This window comes from Homo sapiens, chromosome 18, assembly GCF_000001405.40.
Source record: "Homo sapiens chromosome 18, GRCh38.p14 Primary Assembly".
NCBI classification, from domain to species: Eukaryota; Metazoa; Chordata; class Mammalia; order Primates; family Hominidae; genus Homo; species Homo sapiens.
Window position 1 is genome coordinate 75,801,234 of NC_000018.10, and position 19,778 is coordinate 75,821,011.

General features: G+C 41.3%; 1 annotated feature.

Annotated features, from left to right (window-relative positions):
- Nucleotides 521–1,027: an enhancer, noted in NCBI's record as "H3K4me1 hESC enhancer chr18:73513709-73514215 (GRCh37/hg19 assembly coordinates)". NCBI's record gives its function as "activates a minimal SCP1, AML or CMV promoter by ChIP-STARR-seq in primed H9 embryonic stem cells {active_cell/tissue: H9 hESC(primed)}" and the evidence as "EXISTENCE:reporter gene assay evidence [ECO:0000049][PMID:30033119]".

A 19,778-nucleotide genomic window follows, 5' to 3' on the forward strand; every position in this document is an offset into this window, starting at 1 on the left:
CCAAGGATGCTGGCGAATCTGACATCCATAGCCAGTGGAGGATCAGTGGGGTCTCCTATTGATCGGCATTTCACTGTTCCTGAAGTAGCACGATTTTCAATAGGTGCTGCTGCCAGGGATAGCTGGTTCCCAGGGTCACGAGCAACATGGCTGTACGGGAAAAGCACGTGTCCTTGGAAAGGTAAAGCGACTGGAGGGGATGGAACCTCCGGTCACGCTCATGACAAGCTCCCTCCTCATCACATGGCCCTCCAGGGTCCTGCGGATCCCAGTTCATGTTAATTTCTGGATTTTCCTGAACTGCTTCATAGTTGATGTGGCTATCACTCCGGTTTATAAACTTAAAAAGCAATATACAAATTTAAATTTTTAAAAAAGAATTGCTACTATAATGACTTCATTTTAATATATAATATATAAATAAAATAGGTTAACTAAATATAATAATGATATTAATCATATAATTTTATAATTACCTCAATTAATTATATAATAATTACAGTACATTAATTAATATAATAATACAATTATATGATCATTAAATAATTTTAATACTGACACATATATAATTTAAATAGTTTAATAAAATCCATTATATAAGAAATAAATTTAAATAGTAATTTAATACAATAAGTTATAAATACATATAATAAACAAATTTTACTATACAAATATCCCACTCCTACAAGCACAAGACAGCTTTCATATAGATCAACTCCCCAGAACGGTGCTCAGCTCATTTAACATTTAAATTAAGCACATGGTGTGAATCCCTTTAAAATCGTGCCTTTGCTGAAGTGGTTTACCCACATCCATGGCGAGGTTCCTCTGCCTGCCTCCGCTGATCATATTAGTGAAATGTCAGACGAGTTGTTTGACTGACTTGACTTTTAAAAGTCTAATTGGGTAGTCGCATTGTTTAGAGTCAAACCTGTTTTTAAATACAATGGAATTCCAAAGTTCAGAAGCAGCCACCTTCCCACTGGCTTTGGGTCTGAGCTGCCTGTGACCTGTGTGTGATGCTGCCCATGACAGGCCCTGCCATCCTGCCCTGGCCCATGGCTGACCCGCTCTCCTTGGCCAGCTGACCCAGCTCCACCACAGACACATGGCACACATCATACCAAGAGGCTGTAAAGCTTAGTTAATATTTAAAACATTTTGATGCTCAGATAAAAGGGGATTCAAGTTGTCACCAATTAGTAGGAAAAGACTAATTATTATACAGACCTATGATCCTTTATAAGTAGAAACATTAAAGGAATCTAAAAGCTATCACTTTTTATGAGAGAGCAGATGGCCTGAATTAGACCCCTAAAAGATAATGAATGTGTGTGCGTGTGCCTGTCCACGAACGCGCCTGTATGTGTATCACTAAACAGGAATCTTTTCATAAGGGCTGTTGAAGGAAAAAAGAGAGAATAGAACAGAAAACACAATGTCAATGTTGCTGTCGTCATTCTAGCCAGTATTGTCCATGGGAATTTATCCAGAAAAACATTGTCTTCTTTTCCACACCTTTAACTGCTTGGAAATATGCTTACATTTCAATTTTTCTATTTCAACAAAATTCAATCGTTTAGAAAATAAATATTTATTGAGTTCCTACTATGGTTTGAACACTCAGATAGCGCGATAAACAAACTACCCTAACTGGTTCTTCAGGAGCTTACAGTTCAGCAGCAGAAGAGAGTTGAGCACATGACATGTGGTAAGGGCTGTTATCCTATAGCCCAGTTTGGCCTCATCACCCTGATCACCACCAAAGTGCCTTCTGGTGCACACGGGAAGAAGCAGCTTGTTTCATGTCAGCCCTTGAGTGTTCTCCCTACTGGGTGTTTTTTTAGGATTTTGTTGTTGTTGTTCTGTGTTCCTTCCTGAACCTCATAGAGGGCTTAGGATCACTGTTGCCCCTGCTGCTGGTCATATCTGAAACCCCTCAGTGGACAGTCATGTGCCATGATAGAGGTGTTGTGGGACACACTGAGGGGACATCTTTCAAGAGTAGCAGTCCAACGCTGTCTTCGCCTACCACACGTGGAAACCTTTTGCTTTGTCTGCCCAGACTTCACTTTCGTACGTCATGGTGTTTCATAGCCTCTACTATAGGCTTGGGAGGTAGCTGAGGGAACTTGATGTATGGAAAAGCATACCAGAATAAGCGTGGTCCCTCTCAAAGGCCAAATGAAACTTTTGCAAAGAAGTTCAAATCTCTGCAACCCTCCAAACTGTTTTTCCCCAAGAAGGAAAGTCGCAGGACTCCTATACCTTTTATGCAAACACAGTATCTTCCAGTGGTGGCTGAGAGATGCTGAGTGCAGGAGGTGTCTGTACTTGAGTGATCTGGACTGTACTTTGTCATTTATAGTTGATCTCCTCTGAGGTCTCCATGCCAGTGTAAAGGGAGAATATTTGCTAATAATTTGTCTACATCTTCTGAAGAAACCCATTGGTTCTAACATGCATACACAAGCATACAAACACACATGCATGTGCATACACACATGTACAACATGCATGAGCATGCAGAAACACACATGCTTATGTACACACGCACACCACATGCACCAATGATTTTCTGAGATTCTTTAGCATATATCCATTAAGTAAGGGAAATATTTTCCTAATTGCAACATGATCTATCTGTTCAGTTTTCTGTCCCACAAAGGAGATGGCATTCCACATTATTACTCTGGGTAGTTTCAGACTCTGTTTGTCTTCCTGCTTTAAGAATCTGTACCCTGAGCCTGCTGGTGAAAAATAGGAAACCAATGCGTGAGCTTCACCTCTTATTTTCTTTACATTTGGACACGTCAGAATTATAGCTAGGGTATCATCAATATCTGTTTTTAAGAGTAAACTCCCAGGGACTGGATGAGAGCAATGAGTGAAGGAGGATAGTTAAGTATTCCAGAAAAAGTAGGAATAAATAATAATAACTACAAGACTGTGACCTTTGGAAAGGACTGAATTAAACTGCCTGCTTTCAATATAACTTGTTTCAATTCGATGGGTTTTTTTTCTAACTTGGTTTACAAATATAATGTTAGAAATACTATAAGTTTACTGCACAATGTAAATAGACATAGATTATTTACAAACAGGTGCAGAAATTTGAGGAATAAGGATTTAGGGTAATAAAGATTCTTTGCATTGAGTTTATACTAGTAACTGTGGGCTATAAAAATAAAGTATGGTAAAATGGTAGAGTGATTAAATTTGGCAAGAAAGAATGAATCTTTTACAAACTGAGGGTCTTTTCTCAACTCAGCAGTAAGAGCTGGTATATTAACACTTTTATACAATTACTAATGAGTTATTCTAAAATAGTGACTGAGCTTGGATTATCTGACCACAAATGAATTTCTATGCACACGGAGCTGCATTTCAGTAGTGGGGGCTGCATCACTCGTAACACCGTGCAAAGACAGTTTGCCCCGGGGAGAGGAGGGTCCTGCTTGAGGAAGCTGGACAGGACCTCTCCTTGGGCCATCATGTTCATTCATCCAGTTTTTATTTGGCCTTATTCTTCCATTAGTCTAAGTTTCTTCCACTGAGAACACATCCCACCTCTTCCTAATCCAATTCTTTCAACATTTCACCTGTTTGATGAGATATTGTAAATAATGAAGTGCATTAAGGAATGCCCCATCTGTGAGCACAGGTCTCTCCTAATCAGAGAAAAACATTCTCAGTTTTCTTTCATTCTCCTTTCCCCTCTTCATTGAATTTTATCCAGTTTCCTCTTCTTCCTCCTGACCTTCTGTGACAAATCCATTGATTGAGCTTCTCAGTTTTAAGACAATAAAGAAGATTTGTTCTTCTAAATTCTTGGTGAAAACAGAAGAAATAAAGAACATTTTTTAAAAGTTACATGAGAGATGGAAGTGTATGTAGGTCCAGTTCCAAGCTCCTAACCCCTGGTAATGCCAGATCAATGGGGGCTCTGTAAGTGACCTGAGATGAGACACTTTCAGTAGTTAAAAGTGTTTTTAGGTGATTTTAAAATAGGGCCAAAGAATAAATCCAATAGAAACAAGAAAAGGAGAACTCTGATTCTGGAATGCCCTGTGGTTCTTGAAATGTGAATAAAATTACTTCCTGAAAAAGCTCAAAAATGTTGTTAATCATTCCCCTTTCAGTCACAGTGTTTCGCAGAGCCCCATATGCCTGTCTAACAAATAGTACCATTGGCTTGAGTGACCCAAACTGAGCATAAATCCCCACACACTTCCTACATGTCAAAGTGGCCCATAAGATTTTAAAATAAACATCCTTGCTTGACAACTGCTTTGCGATTAGCTCATAGGAGCATGCCTGCTGTGTTGACTTGTTCATTCTACCGCCATTCTTTCATGGGTCCATTTGCTCTGCTCTCTGTTTTCAATTGTATATTTTATAGAATACTTGTAATCTTCATAACTCTAATGTTCCTGGTAGTCAGACATCACTGAAACCAGGATATTGTGAGTAGTTAAAAGCAATTTAAGTGAGAGTCCAAGAGAGGTGTTTCAAAGAATGTGTCGAGTCCAAGCAAACTTTTATCTCATCAATTTGTCTCTTCTCCTTTAAGAGAAGAAAGAGGATATCCAATTAAAAAGTATATAGACCTGCTTGCTAGAATGTGACATGCTAAAAGTTGATTTTAAAACTGAAGTATCATGTGAATATATCCATGCATTAATTCATTTATTTAACCCTTCTATTAGCATTTGTTATCCACCTAGTATGTAATAGACATTGTGCTTTTATGTTTTATTACATGAGAGATATAAGCTATATACCATCACCATCTGCCTTCCAGGTACTTCAAATCTGGTAGTGGTAATAAGTTACATACCCAGATAACTTTATTACAAAGTAGAAGGTAATGGTACAATAAAGATATTAATAATGCTCTTGGGTGTTCTCAAAAGAAAACACTGGGATCCAACTAGAAGAATGTGAAAAAGTCTTTATGTTGGAACTGGATTTTCCACTCAAAGAACGATCTCTGAAGAAAATAAAGGCTTCAGCAGGTAGCGATTCAGTAGGAGGTCATCCCAAAGCTACAGTAATCATACTTGGAAAGTCAGTGAGGTGGAAAGCTTAGCTGTATTTGGAAAATGTTCGTGTAACCTCACTGAGATGTGCCAGGAGATATTTTATGTATGCAAAGTTTTTGAAGAAGACATGAATCCTGACTTAGGGGAGCTTCCAGTCTGGTATAGGACATGAGGAATGAGAAACTACGTTTAGGACAGTGTGAAGCACTGTATTAGAGATCTACACAGAGAGAGAGAGGAGAGAAGAGGGGGTACAGAAAGCAATGAAGACTGCATACAGTTTTTACAGACCCAGAGGCAATAGCATATACAAAGATACAGAGATAGGTTTCAGTGGCCAGATCATAGAAGACAGACAGAGCCAGGAGGGGCAGCAAAGAGAGAGATTGGATAATTAGGTTGAGGTTAGACTGGGAAGAGACTCAAAAGCCAAGAAAAAGCATTTGGTTTCTTTACCAGGCAACAAAGGCTTCTGACCAAGGAAACAAAATAATCATAGAAAATTTATATAATTTTCTTTTTTGAAAAGAAGTGCAAATGCCCCTTTTTAACCAAAATAATATATAAAACCTCCTTCACTAAAGGCTGGGGGGGTAACAATACATAGATGGTAACACGTAGCTAAAGGATCTGCTTGTGAAGCAGTTTTAAAATGTTTGACCACAGTCAAGTACAAGGATAGCTCAGAACTCCTGAGATTTTAAGATCCACAGGGCATAAGTGTCTGTGTTTATTCATCACCAGGCCCCAGGCATTTAATTAATATTGGTTAAAAAAGTGAAGGAAGTATCTGACAAGTGAATGAAAAATAAAAATAACCCCAAAATGACTTCGATGTTTACAAATGGCAGAACAGCAAGGAAGAGCAGTGACGTCTGGGTTTGGATAGACAGCCTCGGAGCACAGGGGAGACCAAGACGCAGTCTTCTGGGTAAGGACGAGAGAGTCAGGCCCGGACGTTGCTTTCTCCTCTGGTGATCTTCACAACCAAAGGATAATAACAAGAATATATCCTAAAGTCAGAAATAAGCAGCAGATACCACCCCCAGCAAGCAAAGCCTTTGGTATGGCTTCATGTCTTCTGAACTTTTAGCAAATCTTAAGCAAATCAACAGGTAAGAATGAAGACAAAAATGGGAGCTATAATAATGGCCAAAAGTAAGAGCACGGAACATATTAATTCTGGTTATAGGATAAGAAATGACAAAAGGAGGGGTGAAAAGTAATGCTTCACAGCAGAATAAATATCGAGTGGTTGATTAATAGATTCAGCAAAAATGGCATGTAAATACACATAATTATTAAGGAAAACAGTGTAAGAAACCCTGTTACTGGCTTAAAAATATCTGTGGCCAACCAGGCACAGTGCCTCATGCCTATAATCCCAGCATTTTGGGAGGCTGAGGCAGATGGATCACTTGAGGTCAGGAGTTTAAGACCAGCCTGGCCAACATGGTGACACACCATCTCTACTAAAAGTACAAAAATTAGATGGGCATTGTGGCCTATGCCTGTAATCCCAGCTACTTGGGAGGCTGAAGCAGGAGAATCGCTTGAATCTGGGAGACGGAGGTTGCAGTGAGCTGAGATCACGCCACTGCATTCCAGCCTGAGTAACAGAGCAAGACTCCATCTCAAAAAAAAAAAGGAAGAGAAAAAACACCTTTGGCCTCTCTGAAGCTGGAAACCCCATATCTGTTGTCTTTGGTTCCCAGCATTTAGCATGGTCCCTTACTAGTCACTCAATAAACAAATAGCAAATGCAAATGAATTTCCTCAGCTGCATCTTCTGTTCTGAATTTACTTAGAGGTAACAGGGCGAGGTGGTGGTGTGGCCACCTTGCCACCAGTCTCCCAGGGTCCAGGGCTGACCTCAGAAGATGGCCCATCCTGGGGAGCCCATCTGCCATTTCAAGATTACGGCAGTAAGCCGGAGATAGTTGTTTTGCTTTTCACTTTATGATTTAATTTTTTTCTGCTTTGTGGCTTGCTAGGGTGCTCATGAAAGCAAGAGACTAACACAGCTCTGGACAGAGTCAGAAAGAGTGAAACTGTAGGCCTTGCCCGCCTTTCCCAAATGCACTGCCAGGATTCCCAGTTGTGTGCACCAGACCTCAATGTTGACCCGAAAGGCCTTTCCAGAATGTGTCCTGCTGGCTGGGGTGACTTGCCAAATGCCACTTGGGTTTGAGAAGGCTGACCAGGATGCACAATGCATGGGATGAGGTTGCACAATCAATGTCCCTTGACACTGAGACTTCACTTGGCTCTAACTCTATGAGATAAAGTAATAGGAAAGCCTGAAACCGGAGTTCTCTCACCTGAGAACAAATAGCGGTTCTAGTGAATTCTCATCCTTGACACTGGCAGTGTGGCTCAGCTCTCCAAACCCCATCCTGCCTTCTGTCCATCCCCAGCTAGGAAAAGCAAAGCCAGCCTGGGTCACCTTGTCTGGTGCAGAATCCATCGGGCTTCACAGCCTCTGGCATCTGCACAAGTCTCCTTTAAGCCGGAACTTGTCTGTCACTATTTCCATGGTGGAATCATTTCATCTGTAATACTTTTCCATCCAGGGCTGGAGAGGAGGCGGCTGCAGCTTTACCTGCTGTTCAAACCAGGCACGGTAGAGAGACCATTTTTCTTTGTGTTTGAAACCAACAGGAGGACGAAAAGGCCCCATAAATACAGCCAATCAGGAGTATTTTATATCTATTGCTGTGATGAGAAAGCCCACCTGTAACGAAATAGAAGAGGGATGCAAGGAAATAAGAAAAAAAAAAGAAGTAAAGGAAGAAAGATTTAGGGAAAAAAGGAAGCAGGGTTAATCCTTCATGTTGAAAGCTCCTGTGGTTTATAGCAAAATAGGGCTTTGGACTGTCAGGGCTATTAGTCAAGGGTTAAATGTCACTCAAATCACGCCCGTTATGAATTGGAAAGTGCGTGTGTGTGTGTGTGTGTGTTTGTGATGTGCGTGTGTGTGTGTGTGATGTGGCCGTGGGAAAAGGATAGAGATTCTACTTTTTTATGCATTTCAAATTGAGCCACGCTGGCCTGGAGATGACCCGCCACACGATTTTTAAATTATCTCCGTGTGCGCTCTGCTTGTTTTGGAAATACCCTAAATAAAAATAATGGACTGTCTTTTAATAAGTCTCATTGTGAGGATTCCACATATCAAACAAAGCTGTGCAGCTTGGAGGCAAACGGCGGGCGTGTGTGATCTCCTGGAAGAGAGACAAATGGCAGTGTGGGGAGCTCCATCCAGGGAACGCTGACAAGGAAATGGCATTCTGAAACTGACACATCTGTCAGGGCGGAGGATATTGGCACCTGTCATGCAATTTCAGTCATGACTTTTAATAAAGCTGCTTTCCCTTAGGTAAAATTGGAACTTGACTGTAATATTAGCTGCAAGCACGTCTTGTGTTCCCCTTCAGAGCGCTTTTGTACGTGAGGCGGTTCCAATGAACCTGAAAGCTGAAGTAATGATGTTTACCAGCTTTCCTTGCCTCCCCAGAACTCGGGATTTGAAGAAAGAAAAAAAAAGATGCTGCACTGAGTTCTTTTCTTCCTTTATTTTTGTTCCTCCTTGCTTCCCTCTTTCCTTCCTTCCTTTCTCTTTCTTTCTGTCTCTTTCTTTCTTTTGCAAAATGTCTCCCTTCACCAATTAAAGCTGGTTTCCGCGTTTATGCTCATATCACTTGCCCCTCTCCTCCCCCATTGCCTCCTTCCGCCTTTCCTCTGCTTTGACTGGGTTGTTGTTTGAGTAAATTTAGCCCGGAGAAGTATGTATATCATAAAAACTGGGTTGGGATTTGTTGGCTGTCAGTCAATAAATCAGTCAGAGTTTAATTACCAGGCATGTGAGGGGCGGCGGTGACAGGCACCAGCTCTAGCAGAGACCAGTTCTTTTGGGACAACCACTATTAAAAAAAAAAAAAGCTAAAAATGAGATCTGTGTGTGTGTGTGTGTGTGTGTGTGTGTGTGTGTGTGTGTGTGTGTGTGTGTTAGAAGGCTAAGGGGCAAAACAGAGAGACCTAAAGTTAAGAGTGCATCAACCAAAGAGAAATGAAACATTAAGAAACCCTGCAGCTGCAATAAACTCTAAAAAGTTTTGGTTTCAAGATGTAAAGTTTTAGGAATTATAGTAATAAAGCATTCTTTCATAAAAGGTTATCTTTCATATTATGCTTGAAACATCACTGGTTGAGTGTAACATGAGGTTTCTACACTAACATATCATAATTTAATTATGGCTTTGTTCAACGCAAAGAAACATTTTGTTTGTAATCTATTGAATAAAACAAACCCACTAAACTGAAAACCTCACGTGTCACCTCCCCTCAAAAACATCGAAATTGTATAACGAATGACATCATGTGTTCAATGGTGATTCACAAAGTGGACGCCAAGTGTGTGGTGGATGCTTCCCCTTATTGAAGATTCCCAGCACTGATGGACAACTGCTTCCGCCCTTACTCTCCCTCTCCCACCCCCAATCAGCACTTATGGTCAAGATTCCAGGTCGAATGACCCTGAAACAGAGTCCGTGTTTTCTTTTTCTTTTCCTTTTCAAAGGCATTTCACACTCATCGTGGATTTTATTTTTGACTAGTTATAAGAAATGTCATTTCTGCCTGTCCTCTGTCACGAGGCAGTATCTGGAGATACTGCAGGATATTTTGACTGAAAGGATGTTCTATTTTCTTTTCTCTGTTCTCCAGTGTTATGTCTCTGTTTGTTTATTTGAAATCCTTTGATCTTTCTAAGGGATTGTGGGAATCTTTGACTAGAAGTAATATATCTCTGACTCAGAAGGCCAACTTCTTGGCTGGGAGTAGGGAAGAAAAGGGAGAAGTCAGAAAGTCCCGATCATCCAGGATGGCAGAGAGAGCCTATTGTATGAGTCTTTTCTCAGAATTAAAACTTCACAGGATTTCACCAAGTTATCCTGGATCTTATCCTCCTTACTGGAATTCCTTTAGGATGATAGCATTGGAAGGATGTGCTCATCAACCTAGCTCAAAAGCCTGAGATTTTTGTAATTATGTTATGCAGGTTTAAGACAAAAGACCAGGCGAGATGAGTGGTGAAGCCATGAAAAAAAATGACACGCACAACCAAAGCAAAACCAGCAGGCTTCTGGAGTTTGCCAATTCTTCTTTGTGAAGAAAACGTCTGGCAGTTTGCCTAAAATCTTAGCCGTGAACAGCTGCCACTCCAGTTTAAATTGCTGTTAAAAAACAAAACCAAAAAGCAAAACAAAACAAAACAAAAATCTATACCACCTGTCCAGAAAATTGCCTGTGCCTGGAGTCCCGCAAACTGAAAAACCGGAGCGCACACCCCTGCTTCCCTTCACTGTTAGGTCGAATCTGTCCTAAGCCTCAGTTTACCTAGCTTGCAGCCCAAATGCCAACAATCTTGGGGCCAAATAACTTTCTCTGTGGTTTCAGTCTGGGTAGCAGTGACCACTTTCAATAAACTTAAGAGTGAGAGATCTTTGTTTAAACAATGAATGTTATGAATTCTTCGGTGCCGCATCACAAAGCCCAGCACCTCCGTGAAGTCCATAAATGTCTCCCCAAACTACCCCAGGACGTAGAGTTAAAGAACCCAAATCTGCCCTAGCGCACCCCTTGTTTGAATACTTCACCCCATATTAACAACCTTTATGTCCAAACTTAATGTAATATTTTAACCAGGCTTGAATTAGAAAAAGTAATAATAATGACATTTTCTTAAAGGAGAAAAGAACATGAAGATAGTAAGGTGAAAAAAAAATAACTAAATACTATTTTAAATTATCAAAAGTAGGTGCAATCTATATGGTTTGACATTTCACAGTATCAAAAGTTTTCTGTGTTTTGGCCCCAACAGAATTCTTACCAGCCCCCAAAATTGTGTATAAAGGGAAGGCAGAGATCATCACCCAGACCCTAGTACCACAAATGTAAACATGTTCTCAATAATACAAAGACAGGCTAGTCACATCACTCATTTAATCTCACTATTTCCGTTGGATACTATTTACTTGCATCTGCAAATAAAACAGAAAACAAACACTGAAATAATTATTAAGTCCATAGTTTTCTATGGCTTCCAAGTCATCAATACCACATAGAGAAGAAATGTCTAATGGAGATTTTCTGTGGGACACCTTTCATCATTGGGTTCCAGAGCAGAGTAAACATTAAACCACATCTTTATATTATCTGATGTTTAAGGATCTCCAGGTGGGGTTTCCACTAATGGAATAACATTCCTGCATGGCAGGTGGAAACCTTCATCCCGCACCCTAATGTGCTGGAGCAGGGGCTCATTCCCTCTTGTTCTCTTAAGGAGGAAAGATTTCACTGACACGCTGTGTCTTTAATTTTTAGAGACCAGTTCTCCGGGGCAGGATGAAGGGCCTCCACAAAGATGCCTATGGAATTGTTGTCCACGAGTCCCTGAGGTTCTGCTGCCCAGCCCCCACCCCAAGCCCCCTTGGGGCCCAGCAGTCCCCCGCTGTAGTTACGGCTCACACTCGACTCACTCACTCACGTGCTGCTTCACTTGTTCACGGAGGCAATCCACAAATTTTGACTAAAGACTTTCTTGTGCTCCAGGGAAATACAGTTGTAAACAAGAAAGGCAAAGCCCCTGTTTTGAAAGAGCTGACATTCTCATGGGGATAAACTGAAAACAAACAGCACACAAGCCAGAAAAATATCAGATGGTGACGAACGCTATGCAGAACATTCAAAGACTGTGATGTGATAGAAAGCTCCTTTGGTTTTCTGGTCAAGAAGGATCTCTCTGAAAAGGCGACATTTAAATGAAGGAGTCAGATGAGTGAAGAACATTCCAGGTAGAGAGCACAGCTTGGAGTTTTGGGAAATGAAATGAAGGCTGGTGTGTTTAAAGTGTAATAAATAAGAGCAAAGCGACATAAGATGAGTTAGGATACGAAGGCAGAAGGGAGACCATGCAGGGTGTCTACACCATGGGTAGTAGCTTAAATTTTCTTCTAGGTTTTGAGAAAAGCTATTGAAAGGGTTTAGGAGACAGACATGATTTGATTTGATTTAAGTTTTAAAAGCATTACTCTAATATCTGTGGGTATAAAGTCATTAAGTGGCTCAAAGTAAAAACAGAAAGACCAATGAGGGGTCTCTTGCAATCATCCAGACAAAGGATGGCTTGAGCTAGGATGATAGGAATGAAGATGGTGAGAAGTGAACAGAGTCAGGACCTGTTTTAAAGTAGAGACAAGAGGAATCCCTGGAGGACTGGATGATACTGAGGGACAGAGAAGTATATCATCCAAAGTGGGCTAAGCTATGCTGCCTAACAAATAATACCAATATCTTAATAGCTTAAAACAAAAATTAACTTATCCTTCTTGATCCATGTTCATGGAAAAGGCAGCAGGGGACTGTGTTTCATCCTGTCCCCAATGAAAGACCCAGGCTGATGGAGACTTCCCGATTTGAAAGGTGAGTAGTAGCTGAATAAGGGCTGAAAGAATATGAAGAATCCTGCACTAGCTCTTCGATGCTTCCATGCAGTGGTGATGCCTATCCCCTCCACTCACAGCTCATTGGCAAGAACAAGTCACTTGGTCATGTCTAATATTGAGGGTCGAACAAGTGTCATTCTCTATGGAAATAATAGAAGGAAACTACTGGTGAACATAGTTAATATCTATCACAAGAAGTGTCAAGGAAAATCCCTATATTTTTGATTCGAGCAATGGCATAGATGGTGCTACCATTTACTGGGGAGGTGGAGGACATCCTCCTATAATCCCTTACCATGATTGTAGTTGTTGGTTCAACACCCATCTTATCAGAAAGAGTATAAACTACAAGTTCTCCAGATCACTGGTGTCCCAGACTCTCTGAACCCAGCACTGCGACTGGTGATAAGACATATTTGGTGTCTTTATGAATGAATTAATGAACCAAAGAATACAAATAAATCATTAAGCCATTTGGTTGACGTTTCAAGGCTGACAGACAATTGCACATTCATTTTTCCTCTCTGAAACCCATGAAGAAATCCACCATGTACCATCGGCAAGGTCCCAGGGACACAGGCTGATTCATAGATGAGTTGCCAGCAGCTGTGGATTTTCCCAGGTCATCAGTAGCCATCTTGAGGTCTTATGCTCTAGCTCATGATATCTGCATAATTTTTGGCAATTTATTTGAATGCTTCAGATTACCTCCCTGGATGCTGGTTTAATTCTCAATTTTAGAGTCAAATGCATTTCCAGCTTCCTCTAAGAAATACTTTGGTTACCTTGGGTCCCCAAGGGTCAACATAGGCCAGGCTGGTGCTCCCCTCATAGGACAGTGAAGGAGGTAAAAGAAGTCAAAACAGTCTGCTGAGATTTGAGTGTTCTTCACAAGTCAAATCCTAGGCTCATCAAAAGTTTGGCCAAACATGGAAGGACACAATAAATACCACATAATTATCAATCAATTTATCAACAAATATTGACTGGCCTATGTTGAAGCATGTTATGGGAGATAAAGGACAGATAAAACGTCATCCTTACATTAAAAGATATGGCCTTATTTTACAACCCAGTTAAAAAGAAAATTCTAAAAATTCTTACAGAATTTCAAGTGGGGAGAGAGTCCTGTGGCTGGAACCCTGAAGATGTGAGCTTTGGCTGGGATGTGATTTGAAAAGATGAATGCCATTGAGAAAGGTATTAAAGGTGGGGAAACATAAGTACAATCGCAGAATCAGGAAAATCGTGGTAAATTTTGGTCAGAGTCAAGTAGTCTCAGTAGTTTCTCTAAAGAATAGAGTAAAAATCAATCCAGCTAGTATAAAATGTTCTAACAAATCAAAGGAGTGCCTCGAATGCCAGACTGGGGCATTTGGACTTGGTCTTGCCAGCCTTGGACCCCTGACCGATTTAGAGTGAAGGGTTCACTTGAACTACATCCAGACTGAAAGCTCCTGAGGGCAGGGGCTGTGTTCCTTGAACCTAAGCACTCACAGCATCTCTCAGAGAAAGAGGCACACAGAGGTACACGAAATCGTGATGCATGAATAACAGCATATGAATGAACACATGGATGATTGAATGGGGTTTACAAAGATTAATGGTGTGGCAGTAGACATTCTAATTGGGGTAGGCACAAACTCATGGCAAGAAAAACCAGACATTGTTGGAAGAGTCTAGAGGTGAATTTATAAGTCCCTCACAGGAATTGACAAATGCTCAGATACTGTCTGTCTCAGTTCAGTGAGCTCCTGGCTAAAGATGGGTGATATTTAAAATTGCAACTCAATATTCCTTCTAGTTCAATGTCAGTGCAACTTGTTATAAAGACACAGAACAGGATTTGAAGAAATAACTTGTAAAAATAAAATTATATCATCAGAATTACTAATACCTTGACTACCTGCACAATAGTAACCTTGAATCCCAACACTGTATTCAGTCTAATAAAAACATTTATTGAGTAATGTTAAATTCACAGGCCTTATAGTTGAACTCTTTTTAAATCTGTGATATCAATGTAGGTACTTTCTCAAGAAACCCAAAATACATTTTTGATATTCAGGAATACTAAAATCAAGTTAATGTTTGAGTGGTATGTTAATGTGTAGTTGCTTACTTGCAAGAACAAAAATACAACTGAAACTAGCCTAGGGAAGGTATGTGCTCATATAAACAAGCTGAAGTCAGGGCAAGGGTGCAGTTAAATAAAGTTGCATGCAGAGGTTTGAGGATGTGAGACCTAGAACTCAAACGCCACCAGCTCCTCTTGTTCTCTTCCACCAAACCTCCTTGTTCTGTATGTTAACTCCATTCCTTCATGCTACAGACCAGCTTCTTGCACTCTAAGGAAAACCTGGCAGCCAAAAATCCTAGGCTTTTACATCTCCAGCCCTGGGAGGAACACCATCACTTCTCCACGCTCTAATTGGCTAACAGGCCAACATTCCAACTCCTGTGGCCAATCATCTGTTACCTGGAGATGTAAAGGAATATGATTGGCAGTGGTCATTGAAGCCACAGGGTTGAGGCTTTTGGGTGATGAGCAGAAACCTTTCTCAGGAGAAGAGCCATGGCTGTCTTCCGCCATCTCACTGTGCTGTAGACCAACAGGAGGCTGCTGCTGTCCTTATTTGCTCTGCAGAGATTTCTGTTTTTAACCCCATGTCTTGATAAGAGAATGCAGGTGCATTAGTTTCCTAGGCCGCCATAACTGACTACCACTGGGGGACTTAAACAAGTGAAATTTATGCCTCTTGGTTCTAGAAGTTGGAAGTCTGAGATCAAGGCAGGATTAGTTCCTTCCCAGGGATATGAGAGAGAAGCTCTTCCAGGCCTTTCTCTGAGTTTCTCGTGGGCTCCCGGCAATCTTTGGTGCCCTCTGGCTTGTAGATGCATCCCCCATCTCTGCCTTCAAGTTCATATGGCATCCTCCCTGTATGCACATCCATCTCTGGGTCCAAAGTTCCCCTCTCTACTAGCTCACAGTCGTATTGGATTAGGGCCCCCCCGATGACCTTTAAACTTGATTATCTCTGTAAATAAGGTCACACCCTGAAGGACTGGGGATTCAACATATCTTTTTTGGGGAGGACACAGTTCAGTTCATAAAAGAGGGTGAAAGACATTTCTGCTAAATAAAATAGACTTGTTGAGAATTAATTCTAACCAAGCCACTTGGCCTCTAAATGTCTTCTTCTCAATCCTCTTTCATTTGTTAATGTCATGTGGTCTTTAGTATTGCTATCTGTGTTTTAGGATTTTTTTTTAAACAGATGTTAAAATTGTCAATTTACATTCAACTCTGGCAAGTATAAATTATCTTTTAGTTTTTGACTGTTACCAAATACAAAGTAAGTATACATTTTTACAAATCTATGTACAATCAACATAAAACGTATTATTTATAATTTTTTCAACAAAACTAGTTTTTCTTGAGAAAATTTCTCAAATGGACTATTGGATATTTCCCCATCTACTCTCTAAATTCTCAGTACATGCAATCACTGTAGTATACAAGGTTAAAATGGAGTTACAACTTATTGTAATCAAATATTGAATCTCTTTTTAACACTGTTATGTTATATCAAAGTAGGTATTAAAGAATGAAATTAAGAGATAAATTACAATCAAAGGTGTTATTCATTCTTATAATTTGTGAAGAGAAGAAAATTTGGTCTTCCTAAGAAAAGGTATCATCCTCAGGGATTGGTCTGAAGTTTTGTTTTAAAATAATGTCATGGTTTGATGCATCTGTAAAAACCATCTGTGCTTCTCCTGTGAGCCACTGGGAAGACTTAGTGGCATCATCTGAAGGAATTCCTGGAGACCAGGCTCACCTGTTTTGCACTCAGAAAATTTCAGTATTAATCGGTATTTATTTGGGAAAGGCTGTGATGGCCCACCGTGGTGTATGCTGCCTGTATACATATAAACACTGATGTGTCTTTCCTTTATTCTCTAAGTGACAGTGGAAGAAAGTGTGTTGGAGATGTACTGACATCAGTATATTGTTACAATATGAGTAACAAGACAGCCCCCTGACAGGTGGGGCTGTTCCATTTATAACAATCACACTCCCCTTTCTTCCACACTCAAAGGACGAGGGTGCACAGCGGGCACTGGGAGCAAATGTGGAAACTGAAATTTGGCAACGACACATCATGTTCTGGGGGTCCCCTGTAAATGTGCACTCGTGTTCTGGTGGCAACCTCGGGGACTGACAACCCACCATTCCGTCACCTCCACTGCAGTAGAGGAGGGCAGACCCACCCCCTGTGCACAGGTGACTGCACACAGACAGTCGTGAAGAAATGAATTGACCCAGCAGGATATCGTCAGGTGCCAGAGACTCCAGCACCAAAGACGTGAAACCCAAGCTTTTTAAGAGAATATTGCACCTCCAGCTTTTACTGTGTGTTTTCTTCCATTACGTTTCAGTATCAAGCAAAACAACGCTTCTTGTTAATTGTCTGTGCTATTATTTCATCAGAAGCAGAGCCAGATATGGGAAATGCATTCTGCTCCTCCATTTCACCACAGAGGAAGAGCTGCCCTGAAAGGTGAAAGAGAAGCTACCAGGGTCTATGGGACTTGCAGGACATGAGAATCTGCAGGACACTGCTCCCAGAAGACCTGGGAGGGCACAAAGGAAGATGTTCTCTCAACAGTTTTCCAAGCAACGATACAGAGATAAAAAGGTCAGCGTCTGGCAGCCCCCTCTAGCATATGCACGTCTATTTATGAAGACACTTAGCCAGGATTTAGTAAGTTCACTGCAAAGCTCCAGGGGCGCCTGTCTCTTTAAATCCGTCTCTTCCCAAGTGAAATTTGTGGCCCTGATGAATGGCAGAGCAGAGTCATCCATAAAAGGGCAGAGGAAAATCACATTCATTTGCATACAGTAATTATTCTGTGAATCAGGCCACCTTTATTGCTGGCAGAAAATACTGTCAGCATCACTCTATAGATCACATTTGAAAATCTAACAGCTGAGGAAAGTAATTGTTTGGAATCCATGTGGTCCGGCACTCCTGTGGCCGCAGGTCAGCGATCATGTTTCTGGGTGGACAGCAAAGTTTCTAGGTGCCTGTCAAGCCCTCCCTGCAGTGCCTGTATCTGCTCAGAGGAGTTTCCCTGGAGACTGGTCATGGCTCTGTTTTCAAAGAATGAGTGTGAGCACAGGAGTGAGCTGGAACCCAAGGACCTTAGAACCACCCCTCCACTTGTTAGAGTTGGCATCCCCTGTAAGTCACGCCAGGGCATTGACCTCCCTTCCCTAGGACTCGCCACCCTGCCCATGTCACCCCATAGTGCACACAACCACCAACACCACCACACCTCTAACTCCAGCTGGCTCGGCCTCGCCAAGTGTGCAGTAAACAAAGATGTGGCCAGTGCACCTCTCTCCCTGATGTGATGGAGAGGAAGAATGAACATGGTAACTTTTCATGGCCCTTGAATTTTTGGAAAGTAGGGGGAATTGAGGTGGAATAGATGAAAAGCAGAACCAGCAGCCCTGGGAAAGAATAAATGCATTACTTAAGGGGTGGTGGAAGGACACGCAGCATGTATTTTAATCTCTAGAGGAAACCTGTGAAGAAATCTTTCCATTCAGAAAGAAGGGTTTGCAGCAGGCAAGGTTGAAAGAGTTAGCAAGAATGGCCTAGAGCAGGAGGGCTCAAAAGGAAGTCAGAAGCAGGGAGACATATAGGTCTTGGGACTGAAACAGGTGCTTTAGATTCTGGCCATTTCCATTTTTGCCTGTAATGTAAGGTTTCCTTCTAGGTGGTTTAAGTTTCAAGATGCACCAACGTAGCCGGGGCAAAGACTCATAGAGCCTGAGGAGTAGCCCCATGAACAAAGGATTTCCCTTGACGCTTTGTTTTATCTTTCCTACACCTAGGTCCAAAGACCTGCTGTAAAACCAGAGGAAGATAAATGCATATCAAAAATTCAAGTAAGACACTTGATGTAGAAAAGAAAACATTTGAAATACTGTTAGCTGAAGGGCAGTGTGAAGCCACTTTACCGCCACCAGGAATTCACTTGGAAAGTTAACAGGGGGAGAAAAGCAGTTAGCATGGTGCTGCTGTGCTCATTTTACTGGAAGAAGGGCTGTAACTAGAAGTCTTAAACAAGTGTCATTCCAGCCTGAGTGCTTAGGTTGAGGTTTGGGTTGGATAAGTTACGTGAAGATAAATGTTTATCAAAGAAGGTTTAAATTCTCTGTGACTCTTTTATCATTTTTCTTTCTTCTTTCACCCTTATTCTTCCTATTTAAAAAAGCACTTTTACTGTGTGGATAAACCTTGAAGACATTATGCTAAGTGAAATAAGCTGGACATAAAGGCACAAATACTTTATGATTTCACCTATATATGATTTCTAGAGTAGGAAAATTCATAGAGTGGAATGCTGGTTGCCAGGGCCTGGGAGGAGAAGAAAGTAAGAAGCTGCTGCTTAATGGGTACAGAGTTTCAGGGAAGAGAAAAAGCTCCAGAGATGAATAAAACACCACTGAATTGCACACTTAAAACTGGTTGAAATTACATATATTGTACAGCAAGACGGGCTTGGGTTTGGTGGAGGAAAGGCAGGCACATCTTCTCCGAGAAGCCTCGTTTTCTCTCTGATATGCAACAAGGTCATGAGCCGGTGGTGTACAGGGAAATGGGTGTTAGGCTGGAGGAAAGAGTAAATTGTAAAATCGTCATTGCAGAGAATAGAAGGCATTGTAGGGTCCTCTGATGATTCTGAGTGCCCTTTAAGATTTGTTGTAAATTTAACGTGAGTCCAGTTTGCATGGTTGAATGATTTTTGTCTTCAGCAATATTTAGGTAGAGAGCTTTTAGAGTACTAATATTGCTTCCAAGGAAGAATGCAGCAGGGATATTAAGGATGATTTTAAGGTGCACAGAAAATAAGGTGGATAAAGAGAGAAGTGAGGGTGTGAAGAGGACTTGCTGGTGGAGAAAACCACTGTGGTCAGTAGACAGGTGCGGAGCCTCCACGGAGGTCAGGGTGCTGTTGGAGAACAGTCAAGAGGAGTATGTCAGAGAAGAGAATCCCTAGAGGCAAGATTTCTAAGGTAGTGAAGCTGCCAGAAATTACACAGCTTCAAACAGGCCCATGTGACTGGCTGGCTGAGCAAATAGAATAAAAAGATGGTTTAGCTGAGGGTTGAGCCAGGAAAGGTGAGCATGGGGAGTTAGCTATGTGGACG